The sequence below is a fragment of the Homo sapiens genome, chromosome 12 (assembly GCF_000001405.40).
Source record: "Homo sapiens chromosome 12, GRCh38.p14 Primary Assembly".
NCBI classification, from domain to species: Eukaryota; Metazoa; Chordata; class Mammalia; order Primates; family Hominidae; genus Homo; species Homo sapiens.
In genome coordinates, this window is record NC_000012.12 from 67,892,452 (window position 1) to 67,906,464 (window position 14,013).

General features: G+C 39.6%; 2 annotated features.

The window, feature by feature from the left end:
- Positions 7,475-8,211: an enhancer, noted in NCBI's record as "NANOG-H3K27ac-H3K4me1 hESC enhancer chr12:68293706-68294442 (GRCh37/hg19 assembly coordinates)". NCBI's record gives its function as "activates a minimal SCP1, AML or CMV promoter by ChIP-STARR-seq in primed H9 embryonic stem cells {active_cell/tissue: H9 hESC(primed)}" and the evidence as "EXISTENCE:reporter gene assay evidence [ECO:0000049][PMID:30033119]".
- Positions 8,212-8,946: an enhancer, noted in NCBI's record as "NANOG-H3K27ac-H3K4me1 hESC enhancer chr12:68294443-68295177 (GRCh37/hg19 assembly coordinates)". NCBI's record gives its function as "activates a minimal SCP1, AML or CMV promoter by ChIP-STARR-seq in primed H9 embryonic stem cells {active_cell/tissue: H9 hESC(primed)}" and the evidence as "EXISTENCE:reporter gene assay evidence [ECO:0000049][PMID:30033119]".

A 14,013-nucleotide genomic window follows, 5' to 3' on the forward strand; every position in this document is an offset into this window, starting at 1 on the left:
GGAGACCAACCCTGACAGATGGTGGCGGCTTTGCTGATTATAGAGCTCAGTTGGACCAAGGCTCTATTTTATTCCCTGCACCAAGGTCCCTTCTGAACATAGGCTGTTTACTTAAAACATATCCATTCCTGTTTCTGCTCATCATATTCTTAGGATAAAAATGCACATAGGCAGCTGTTGCATTTTTTGGTACTAAATATTCAATTCTGCTTTGTGTTAAGGAAATTTATAATCCATTTTACCCCATAATTATTCTTTATAAGTGAGAAATCAAATCTGAAGTGGCAACAGAGAGTGGACTCTAGGAAAAGAAATCCAAATAGGCATTGCCTTTGGTTATGCTATTTCTCTGCATGAGACATTCAGACTTTTATATTATCCCACTAAAAAAGGAAACAGCAACCAAATTTAGCAAGCTGGTGTTTTCAAGCACAAAAGAATGTCAGCCCAGGAGCTTGGTTCTTCCTTTGCCTTCTGCTTGAGAAATCTCAGCTCTCCTTCTCAGAGTAATTAAAAAGTGACTTTAGAATGTTATGCCCCCAAAGTCATTGAACTTCACATCCAGCCACATATAAACATTTAAGACTAGGGGGAACAAAAGCCCAGTAGTGCATGGACAGAAGGGTCATAAGGAGGAAAAGCAACACTGGAAAAATGATCCCAACCCTCTGCCACCCGAAACCTCAGGGAGGAAAAATGTCATTCCAGGCGGCAGCTGTGAATTACAACATGCCCAGGAACTTACTCGGGCACCTTCAGGCTGAGTATCATGCTGTTTGGAAAAGTGGCAGGGTGTTATATTTTCACACCCACCTGTTGCTTTATGACTTAGTAGGCAAGAAGTTGTGGAGGCTTCCCCAGCTACACAACACTGACTTATTTAGAGCTCCTGCCTGCAGTGGCTAACGAAGGTAGGACAATGGGGCAGGTGTCTCAGCAGACACAGATTCTGAACCAAGTTAAGTGGGTGACGTAAGGTATAAGCCATAGCCCCGTTATAAAGGCGAGGCTCTGTAACCTCATTGGCCAGCTATCTTGGTAGCTTCATATGGCTGCTTCTTTTTGGCATCTAGGAAACAGCCCTTCCATTTTTAAAGACTGCAGAAGGAAAGGCTTGAATAGAGGAAGAGGAGGCTATCCTCCAACTTCCTAATCATTATCCAGCACAGGCTTTGGTAGGTTACATATGCTCAACAAAATAGCATGGTTTAGAGAAGAGAACACTGAACAAAGACTCTAGAAATGAGTATTTTATTCTTAGCTCTGCCACTTTGGAAGAGTTACTTTTTATCTCTGCATTTCCATTTCTGCAACTGTAAAATAAGGGAATTATCTGCTATGCCCTGGGGTTGGCAAACCTTTTCTGATTCTTTGGTTTAAGAATAATGGGGGCCCCAATGAGCAGATCAGTAGTTTATCTTTAAGCACTATTGATTCATTTGAGCATAATGGGTCAGGAATCTGTAATTCTGGTGATCTTTCCATATTGGGAAACACTGAACTACATGTCTGCTAAGATGAGATGGTTCTGTATCTCCTGGGAGATCCTTCCTAAAGGAACTGCAGATAAAAGCCAATAGAGTGGAAATTCTTCTTATCTCTCAGCATCAATAGTACAACAGCGATCTAGCTAGCACTGTTCAATAGAACTTTCTGTGATGGTGGAAATGTCTAACATCTGCACTGTCCAATACTGCAGCCACTTTCTACACGTGATTATTGGTCACTTAAATTGTAGCTAATGGGGCTGAGGGACTGAATTTTAAAACTGTTTAATGTTAATTCATTTAAATGTAAAAGCACATACTTTCCCATTTTGGACAGCACAGATGCTACCATGTTTTGCTGCAAGAAGGTAACAAGTGTTCTGCTGTGGTCAAATGAAAAACAGGTCTTTATTTCCATTTTTACCTTCCTGGGCAGTATGGGGGAAAGGGCAAGGCTTTGTGACTCAGTTTCCTTTTCTCTCAAATTCAGATGGTAATATCTACTTCACAGTATTGTTCAGAAGATTTAAACTAGATATGTGAACACCTTTGAGAACCATAATATGACCAAAAGATGCAAGATATTATAAGGGGTTGAAAGTTGATTTTGTCTCAGTACAAACACAATGACGTCTGAGAACATACAACTAAATGTGGGTGGAGATTGGTAATGTCAGATGTGAAAGGTCGAAAATAAAGAGGGAAAACTACAAAGTAAATGTCAAAGGCAGAGTAGATGAAAAGGGAGAGTAATAAAAAAAAAGTCAAGACATGTGGCATAAGGTAGTGAGGAAGAGGGTGCAGTGGAGGTATCTGGTGGGAGGACATTTCAGGGTTGAGAATTGCTCATGATGAGAGGAGCATGGACAGGTGTCAATTTTGAGTGACAGTAAATGGGAAAACCATTAAGTTGAATTAGGACACTTAGTTTTCCATTTACCTGACTGCCTTAGAGAAAGGTATCTGGAGGGATTTGGACAGGAGCCAGATAGGCCAGAAGAATTTATGCTGTTCAACAGTAATGTGGATGGTTCAGTTTAGAAAGGCGATGACAGCACTGGATTATTTGGGGTGAGTCCATAAGCCTTCTTACATATAAAGGGCTCTGGAAAGGAAGCATATACTGTAGCAGAGATGAAGAAAGCCTTGTTTGACAAAGATGTCCTGAGATCCTATCAATCACAGAAAGTAGAACATCACTGTGAAGGCAGTCAGTTGGAAAAGGGTGATCTTGAACCTGGCTTGGCATAGTGTCCTACTCCTTAGAGTAGAGGGAATGAAAGATGCAATAGGAGACAAAATGAGTTAAAGAACATCCTGGGAGCTTTCTAGCACTTACAAAAATGGCAACTTGCCATCTACCTCATTGTCCTTTTCCTGTCCTACTACAAACTGAGAAGGATTAATGTTGGAGTCTGCCTGGGTTCAAATCCAAGCCCTACCATTTAATAGCTGTGGTAGCTTGTAATAGCTTGGGCTGGAAACAAACTCTCTAAGTCACATGTTCTTCATTATGGGGATATAATAGCACCTGCTCCAGAGAAGTAAGTAAAATAATTTATGTACAAATTAGCACAGCCCCTAGTCCACAGAAAACACTAAAAAATATGTTTATTAAATATAATATCTCAAACTTCCCAACATACCATTAAAATTGAATGTTTAACAGATACGAAACATTACAACTAGAAACACTACTTTCTATAGATCAATAGTTTTGAAAAATTTAGTCACATCAAACCAAGTATTGCTTTTATTCATTCACTAAATTCATTCATTTCCCTCGATTTTTAAAATTAGGGGACTGTTCCTTTGAATGTTTATCGAGGTATAATTTTTAAGTAGATTTAGGGGGTACAAATGTAGTTTTGTTACTTGAATATATTGCATAATGGTGTAGTCTGGGTTTTTAGGATAACCATCTCCCGAATAGTCTACATTGTGCCCATCAGGTGATTACTCATCCCTCACCCTGCTTCCACCCTCCCACATTTCTTGAGTCTTCACTGTCTATTATCCCAGTCTCTGTCTATGTATACACATTATTTACCTTCCACTTACAAGTGAGAGCAAATAGTATTTGACTTTGTTTCTGAGTTATTTCACTTAAGATAATGGCCTCCAGTTCCATTCATGTTGCTGCAAAAGACATGATTTCATTCTTTTTTATGGCTGAGTAGGATTCCATGGTATATGTGTACCACATTTTCTCCATCCAGTCATCCACTGATGGGCCTTTATGTTGATTCCATATCTTTGCCATTGTGAATCATGCTGTGATAAGCATACAAGTGCAGGTATCTTTTTGATATAATAATTTCTGTTCCTTTGGGTAGATACTCAGCAGTGGAGTTTATTGAAATATAATTTATATACCATAAACTTACCCGTTTAAACTGTATAATTCATTTAACTAATATTACTGAGTGCTGCCAAGTGTCAGGCCCTATCCTAGGCACTGGAAATATGGCAAATAAGACAGATGAGGTCCCTGCTTTCAAAGAGCTTCTGGTCTAGAGAGGAAGAGAGATCATAGACAGTATATAACCTAAGGGCTAAGAAGCAGTGATATAGTAGGTAAGACAATCATGTCAGGCTGTCCCATTTTAGATAGGATGGCCAGAAACATTCTCTTGGAGAAGGTGGCATTGAATAATATGTGGATGGGAGTCATATGAATGTCTCAGGGAAGAGTATTTCAGGCAGGGAATAGCAAGTGCAAAGGCCCTGGGACAGAAGCATGCCTGCTATACTCCTGTTTGAGGAAAATCTGGGAGGGCCATGTCACCAAAGTTTAATAGATAAGTAAAAACAAGAGAGGAAGAAATCAAGATAGAAAGGAAATGGGAGCAAGATCGTTAAGTCTAGGTTTCCAAAATAAGGCTTATGGATTTTGTTCTAGGTATGATGGAAAACCATTGGAGGGATTTGAGGAAGGAAAGGAAGCAATCAGTATATATATAATATACATAAAATATAAATAAAATGTATATAAAATATACATATATAAATTTATATATCTTATATATGTATATTTTTCTTGAGACAGTATTGCTCTGTCACTCAGGCTGGAGTGCAGTGGTGTAATCTCAGCTCACAGCAACCTCTGCCTCCCGGGGTCAAGTGATTCTCCTGCCTCAGCCTCCAGAGTTGCTGGGATTATAGGCACACACCACCACACCCAGCTAACCTTTTTTTGTATTTTCAGTAGAGACGAGGTCCCACCATTTGGGCCAGGCTGGTCTTAAACCCCTGATCTCAAGTGATCCACCCACCTTGGCCTCCCAAAGTGCTGGAGTTACAGGCATGAGCCACCATGCCTGGCCAGGTTTATATTTTAAAGAATCTCTCTAGCAATTGTTTGGAAAACAGATTCCAAGAGGCAAAAAGCAGGAAGAGGGAGACCAGTAACAGGCCAGGCAGTGGCCCAGGTGACAGACAGCAGAGGCTCAGACTAGCGGTGGAGTTGATGAGAAGGGGTGAGATCATGGGTATGTTTTCATGACAAGATTACCTGGAAACTCAATATGGGGTTTAAGAGAGGGGGTTCAAGGATGACTCCTAGGATATTGGCCTTAATCCTTGACTGGTGGGGCCCTCTGCTAAGATGTGGGATGCTAGAGGAACAGGCTTGGGGTGGGGTGTGAATCAAATGCTGTTTTGACCTTTTTATTTTATATGCTTATTAAAAGTTCAAGTGGAAATTACACAGGTGGTTCCTTGTATGTACTATGTTAGGAAACAAAGGCTTTGTGTTGGAGGATTTAAAAAAGAACAAGAAAACTTCCTAGAAGCCTAGATTAGCAGAGCTATAAGCTGCACCCCAAGTGTGTCCTATAGGCTCCTATATAACAGAAGAGCTGCAAAACCTCACACCTATGTGCTGAAAAACAGACTAGCCAATGAGTAAAGCAGAAAATACACGTGGAAAAAATTAGATTGTCCTATCTCTTTAATATGAAAGTTGGGGAGGGTTGTGTTAGAGTTCTAATGACCTGATTAATTGCTGAGGAAATAAACCTAGGTATCAGGTAGCTTGAAGGTAAGAATGGAGAAAGATCTGTTTATAAACAAATATCTCCATTTGTATTACTGCAAGAAAACAATCTAGTAGATTCACAGAATGCAGGCTGCAGGATTATTTTTCATTTATCACTGAGAAGCACTTCTTGAATTTTTATAGCCATCTTGTTACAGGATCCTAAGCAGGTTGGTATAACTGGCTGTGTTTTGAGAAGGATTAGGTATATTTCCATATTTGTTCATTTCTCAATTTAGTAGTTAAGTCTTCAAGACATTTATATTTCAGAGTATAATTTCAGTGGTTTTCAAGTTCTAGGAGTTTCTTTTTCTGGAGTGTTGGAGCTATAATTTTCTTGTCCCTTATCCATTTGAAGCTTCCATGAACCTAAACTGGAAGATCTGAGAAATACCTCCACTGAGAGACTGAGGTGAAATACACAATAGGATCTCAGAAATTCTTAACCATGTTTCTTATCATCGTGTGATGCAAGCCGTATTAAACAAGTAAGGGAACTCTACAGGATGCAGAATTACTTAACTGCATCTCATGGAAGAGTAGGGCGGGGTTAAGCTCCTGCCTTTTCATAATCATATAACTGAGGAAGTAACCATTGAGACTTCTACTTTATAAGTTAACCTAAAGACATTGTTCCAATCAATCAAGTATGTCCTGACCATATGCATTGGGTAAAGCATTAGTTGACATTGTTAAGAACGAAAGATAATTTGTTGTATAACCACTCTGCACACTCCTATGATCATAGAAGCTGGTGTTCAAACCAGCTTTAGAATAACATATGTATGACATTTATATGTCCTACTAAAATAGGATAGTGGATTGTAAATGATTATGCAGAGCAATCTATGGTTTTTACAGGAATAAAATAATTAGCCTTTCCTTTTTCCTTCTTAGCCAGTATATTTATCTGTCCAAAATATTTAACAAAGTAATAAAAATGTTCCATAACTCATTTCATTCATTAGACCTCAATATCTTGATCTTTAATTTCCAGAGAGTCTTCTGAGATAGATAAGATCCACTCTTCTCATTACTCTGCCTAGGAAATGTAATAGCATTATAGCATATTTGTGTAATACTTGAAGCACAAAGTAATTTTCTGCCATGTAGCCTGAAATTCCTGATCATTGTGCTCGGAGGAAAACACTGTAGTCAATATATATACATATATGTATAACATTTATATATATAACATTCGCCCTCACTTTATACATATATGAATAGATATGCAATATATATAAACACACATAATCAGTAGAGTTTTGTATAGATGTGTGTGTATATATCTACATAAATATAATCAGAATTTTGTGTAGATATATATATACACATAGACATACATAATCAGTAGAGTTTTGTGTGGAATAATTTCTTTAAATTGATTTATATAAATAGGACAGTTTTATAACTTGCATTTCACTCAACAATAGGACTGAGTTTTTTTATGTGATTACATATGAATGCTCTTCATCCTTTTATTTATTGCATAGCATTCCATATTTAGATGTGCCATAATTTGTTTCACAATTCTAGCCATAATGAACATTGTTTGATATTTTGTGATGAAAATGATCATTAAATGGATCTCTTTGTACAAGCTTCTCTATGCAAATGCACAAATACTTCTCGGGATAAATGTGTATAACTCATGTAAACACATGTACATGCACACACACAGGTCTTTAATCCATCAAGAATTTGTGTGTGTGTGTGAGTGGATAATCCATGAAGTGTCTGTTCATGTCCTTCGCCCACTTTTTGATGGGGTCGTTTGTATTTTTCTTGTAACCAACCCAAATGTCCAACAATGATAGACTGGATTAAGAAAATGTGGCACATATACACCATGGAATACTATGCAGCCATAAAAAATGATGAGTTCATGTCCTTTGTAGGGACGTGGATGAAATTGGAAATCATCATTCTCAGTAAACTATCGCAAGAACAAAAAACCAAACACCGCATATTCTCACTCATAGGTGGGAATTGAACAATGAGATCACATGGACACAGGAAGGGGAACATCACACTCTGGGGACTGTTGTGGGGTGGGGGGAGGGATAGCATTGGGAGATATACCTAATGCTAGATGACAAGTTAGTGGGTGCAGCGCACCAGCATGGCACATGTATACATATGTAACTAACCTGCACAATGTGCACATGTACCCTAAAACTTAAAGTATAATAATAAAAGAAAAAAAAAACTTAAAAAAAAAATGCATTTTCGAGGGAGGAGCCAAGATGGCCGAATAGGAACAGCTCCAGTCTACAGCTCCCAGCGTGAGCAACGCAGAAGACGGGTGATTTCTGCATTTCCATCTGAGGTACCAGGTTCATCTCACTAGGGAGTGCCAGACTGTGGGCACAGGTCAGTGGGTGCGCGCACCCTGCGCGAGCCGAAGCGGGGCGAGGCGTTGCCTCACTTGGGAAGCGCAAGGGGTCAGGGAGTTCCCTTTCCGAGTCAAAGAAAGGGGTGACGGACACACCTGGAAAATCGGGTCACTCCCACCCAAATATTGCACTTTTCGGACCAGCTTAAAAAACGGCGCACCCACGAGATTATATCCCGCACCTGGCTTGGAGGGTCCTACGCCCACAGAGTCTCGCTGATTGCTAGCACAGCAGTGTGAGATCAAACTGCCAGGCGGCAGTGAGGCTGGGGGAGGGGCGCCCACCATTGCCCAGGCTTGCTGAGGTAAACAAAGCAGCCAGGAAGCTCAAACTGGGCGGAGCCCACCACAGCTCAAGGAGGCCTGCCTGCCTCTGTAGGCTCCACCTCTGGGGGCAGGGCACAGACAAACAAAAAGACAGCAGTAACCTCTGCAGACTTAAATGTCCCTGTCTGACAGCTTTGAAGAGAGCAGTGGTTCTCCCAGCACGCAGCTGGAGATCTGAGAACGGGCAGACTGCCTCCTCAAGTGGATCCCTGACCCCTGACCCCCGAGCAGCCTAATTGGGAGGCACCCCCCAGCAGGGGCACACTGACACCTCACACGGCAGGGTATTCCAACAGACCTGCAGCTGAGGGTCCTGTCTGTTAGAAGGAAAACTAACAAAGAGAAAGGACATCCACACCAAAAACTCATCTGTACATCATCAAAGACCAAAAGTAGATAAAACCACAAAGATGGGGAAAAAACAGAACAGAAAAACTGGAAACTCTAAAATGCAGAGCACCTCTCCTCCTCCAAAGGAACGCAGTTCCTCACCAGCAATGGAACAAAGCTGGATGGAGAATGACTTTGAGGAGCTGAGAGAAGAAGGCTTCAGATGATCAAATTACTCTGAGCTACGGGAGGACATTCAAACCAAAGGCAAAGAAGTTGAAAACTTTGAAAATAATTTAGAAGAATGTATAACCAGAATAACCAATACAGAGAAGTGCTTAAAGGAGCTGATGGAGCTGAAAACCAAGGCTCGAGAACTACGTGAAGAATGCAGAAGCCTCAGGAGCCGATGCGATCAACTGGAAGAAAGGGTATCAGCAATGGAAGATGAAATGAATGAAATGAAGGGAGAAGGGAAGTTTAGAGAAAAAAGAATAAAAAGAAATGAGCAAAGCCTCCAAGAAATATGGGACTATGTGAAAAGACCAAATCTACGTCTCATTGGTGTACTTGAAAGTGATGGGGAGAATGGAACCAAGTTGGAAAACACTCTGCAGGATATTATCCAGGAGAACTTCCCCAATCTAGCAAGGCAGGCCAACGTTCAGATTCAGGAAATACAGAGAACGCCACAAAGATACTCCTCGAGAAGAGCAACTCCAAGACACATAATTGTCAGATTCACCAAAGTTGAAATGAAGGAAAAAATGTTAAGGGCAGCCAGAGAGAAATCGGGTTACCCTCAAAGGGAAGCCCATCAGACTAACAGCGGATCTCTCGGCAGAAACCCTACAAGCCAGAAGAGAGTGGGGGCCAATATTCAACATTCTTAAAGAAAAGAATTTTCAACCCAGAATTACATATCCAGCCAAACTAAGCTTCATAAGTGAAGGAGAAATAAAATACTTCACAGACAAGCAAATACTGAGAGATTTTGTCACCACCAGGCCTGCCCTAAAAGAGCTCCTGAAGGAAACACTAAACATGGAAAGGAACAACTGGTACCAGCTGCTGCAAAATCATGCCAAAATGTAAAGACCATCGAGACTAGGAAGAAACTGCATCAACTAACGAGCAAAATCACCAGCTAACATCATCATGACAGGATCAAATTCACACATAACAATATTAACTTTAAATGTAAATGGACTAAATACTCCAATTAAAAGACACAGACTGGCAAATTGGATAAAGAGTCAAGACCCATCAGTGTGCTGTATTCAGGAAACCCATCTCATGTGTAGAGACACACATAGGCTCAAAATAAAAGGATGGAGGAAGATCTACCAAGCAAATGGAAAACAAAAAAAGGCAGGGGTTGCAATCCTAGTCTCTGATAAAACAGACTTTAAACCAACAAAGATCAAAAGAGACAAAGAAGGCCATCACATAATGGTAAAGGGATCAATTCAACAAGAAGAGCTAACTATCCTAAATATATATGCACCCAATACAGGAGCACCCAGATTCATAAAGCAAGTCCTGAGTGACCTACAAAGAGACTTAGACTCCCACACATTAATGATGGGAGATTTTAACACCCCACTGTCAACATTAGACAGATCAATGAGACAGAAAGTCAACAAGGATACCCAGGAACTGAACTCAGCTCTGCACCAAGCAGACCTAATAGACATCTACAGAACTCTCCACCCCAAATCAACAGAATATACATTTTTTTCAGCACCACACCACACCTATTCCAAAATTGACCACATACTTGGAAGTAAAGCTCTCCTCAGCAAATGTAAAAGAAGAGAAATTATAACAAACTATCTCTCAGACCACACTGCAATCAAACTAGAACTCAGGATTAAGAATCTCACTCAAAACCGCTCAACTACATGGAAACTGAACAACCTGCTCCTGAATGACTACTGGATACATAACAAAATGAAGGCAGAAATAAAGATGTTCTTTGAAACCAATGAGAACAAAGACACAACATACCAGAATCTCTGGGACGCATTCAAAGCAGTGTGTATAGGGTAATTTATAGCACTAAATGCCCAGAAGAGAAAGCAGGAAAGATCTAAAATTGACACCCTAACATCACAATTAAAAGAACTAGAAAAGCAAGAGCAAACACACTCTAAAGCTAGCAGACGGCAAGAAATAACTAAAATCAGAGCAGAACTGAAGGAAATAGAGACACAAAAAACCCTTCAAAAAATTAATGAATCCAGGAGCTGGTTTTTTGAAAGGATCAACAAAATTCATAGACCGCTAGCAAGACTAATAAAAAAAGAGAGAAGAATCAAATAGACACAATGAAAAATGATAAAGGGGATATCACCACTGATCCCACAGAAATACAAACTACCTTCAGAGAATACTACAAACACCTCTATGCAAATAAACTAGAAAATCTAGAAGAAATGGATAAATTCCTCGATACATACAGTCTCCCAAGACTAAACCAGGAAGAAGTTGAATCTCTGAATAGACCAATAACGGGAGCTGAAATTGTGGCAATAATCAATAGTTTACCAACCAAAAAGAGTCCAGGACCAGATGGATTCACAGCCGAATTCTACCAGAGGTACAAGGAGGAACTGGTACCATTCCTTCTGAAACTATTCCAATCAATAGAAAAAGAGGGAATCCTCCCTAACTCATTTTATGAGGCCAGCATCATTCTGATACCAAAGCCGGGCAAAGACACAACCAAAAAATAGAATTTTAGACCAATATCCTTGATGAACATTGATGCAAAAATCCTCAATAAAATACTGGCAAACCGAATCCAGCAGCACATCAAAAAGCTTATCCACCATGATCAAGTGGGCTTCATCCCTGGGATGCAAGGCTGGTTCAATATACGCAAATCAATAAATGTAATCCAGCATATAAACAGAGCCAAAGACAAAAACCACATGATTATCTCAATAGATGCAGAAAAAGCCTTTGACAAAATTCAACAACCCTTCATGCTAAAAACTCTCAATAAATTAGGTATTGATGGGACGTATTTCAAAATAATAAGAGCTATCTATGACAAACCCACAGCCAATATCATACTGAATGGGCAAAAACTGGAAGCATTCCCTTTGAAAACTGGCACAAGACAGGGATGCCCTCTCTCACCACTCCTATTCAACATAGTGTTGGAAGTTCTGGCCAGGGCAAATAGGCAGGAGAAGGAAATAAAGGGTATTCAATTAGGAAAAGAGGAAGTCAAATTGTCCCTCTTTGCAGATGACATGATTGTATATCTAGAAAACCCCATTGTCTCAGCCCAAAATCTCCTTAAGCTGATAAGCAACTTCAGCAAAGTCTCAGGATACAAAATCAATGTACAAAAATCACAAGCATTCTTATACACCAATAACAGACAAACAGAGAGCCAAATCATGAGTGAACTCCCATTCACAATTGCTTCAAAGAGAATAAGATACCTAGGAATCCAACTTACAAGGGATGTGAAGGACCTCTTCAAGGAGAACTACAAACCACTGCTCAAGGAAATAAAAGAGGATACAAACAAATGGAAGAACATTCCATGCTCATGGGTAGGAAGAATCAATATCGTGAAAATGGCCATACTGCCCAAGGTAATTTACAGATTCAATGCCATCCCCATCAAGCTACCAATGACTTTCTTCACAGAATTGGAAAAAACTACTTTCAAGTTCATGTGGAACCAAAAAAGAGCCTGCATGGCCAAGGCAATCCTAAGCCAAAAGAACAAAGCTGGAGGCATCACACTACCTGACTTCAAACTATACTACAAGGCTACAGTAACCAAAACAGCATGGTACTGGTACCAAAACAGAGATATAGATCAATGGAACAGAACAGAGCCCTCAGAAATAACGCCGCATATCTACAACTATCTGATCTTTGACAAACCTGAGAAAAACAAGCAATGGGGAAAGGATTCCCTATTTAATAAATGGTGCTGGGAAAACTGGCTAGCCATATGTAGAAAGCTGAAACTGGATCCCTTCCTTACACCTTACACAAAAATCAATTCAAGATGGATTAAAGACTTAAACGTTAGACCTAAAACCATAAAAACCCTAGAAGAAAACCTAGGCATTACCATTCAGGACATAGGCATGGGCAAGGACTTCATGTCTAAAACACCAAAAGCAATGGCAACAAAAGACAAAATTGACAAATGGGATCTAATTAAACTAAAGAGCTTCTGCACAGCCAAAGAAACTACCATCAGAGTGAACAGGCAACCTACAAAATGGGAAAAAATTTTCGCAACCTACTCATCTGACAAAGGGCTAATATCCAGAATCTACAATGAACTCAAACAAATTTACAAGAAAAAAACAAACAACCCCATCAAAAAGTGGGCAAAGGACATGAACAGACACTTCTCAAAAGAAGACATTTATGCAGCCAAAAAACACATGAAAAAATGCTCATCATCACTGGCCATCAGAGAAATGCAAATCAAAACCACAATTAGATACCATCTCACACCAGTTAGAATGGCAAGCATTAAAAAGTCAGGAAACAACAGGTGCTGGAGAGGATGTGGAGAAATAGGAACACTTTTACACTGTTGGTGGGACTGTAAACTAGTTCAACCATTGTGGAAGTCAGTGTGGCGATTCCTCAGGGATCTCGAACTAGAAATACCATTTGACCCAGCCATCCCATTACTGGGTATATACCCAAAGGACTATAAATCATGCTGCTATAAAGACACATGCACATGTATGTTTATTGTGGCATTATTCACAATAGCAAAGACTTGGAACCAACCCAAATGTCCAACAATGATAGACTGGATTAAGAAAATGTGGCACATATACACCATGGAATACTATGCAGCCATAAAAAATGATGAGTTCATGTCCTTTGTAGGGACATGGATGGAACTGGAAATCATCATTCTCAGTAAACTATCACAAGAACAAAAAATCAAACACCGCATATTCTCACTCATAGGTGGGAATTGATCAATGAGATCACATGGACACAGGAAGGGGAATATCACACTCTGGGGACTGTGGTGAGGTGGGGGGAGGGGGGAGGGATAGCACTGGGAGATATACCTAATGCTAGATGACGAGTTAGTGGGTGCAGCACACCAGCATGGCACATGTATACATATGTAACTAACCTGCACATTGTGCACATGTACCCTAAAACTTAAAGTATAATAAAAAAAATGCATTTTCTTTTTTAAAATTTATTTTATTCTTAAATTTTTAATTGACAAGTAAAAATTGTATATATTTATATTGTACAACTTGATGTTTGGTTATATGTATACATTGTAGAATGGCTAAATCAAACTAATATATGCATTACCTCACATACTTATTATTTGTGTGTATGTGTGGTGAGAACACTTAGAATCTACTTTCTTAGTAATTTTCAATTATACAATAATATTGTTATTAATTGTA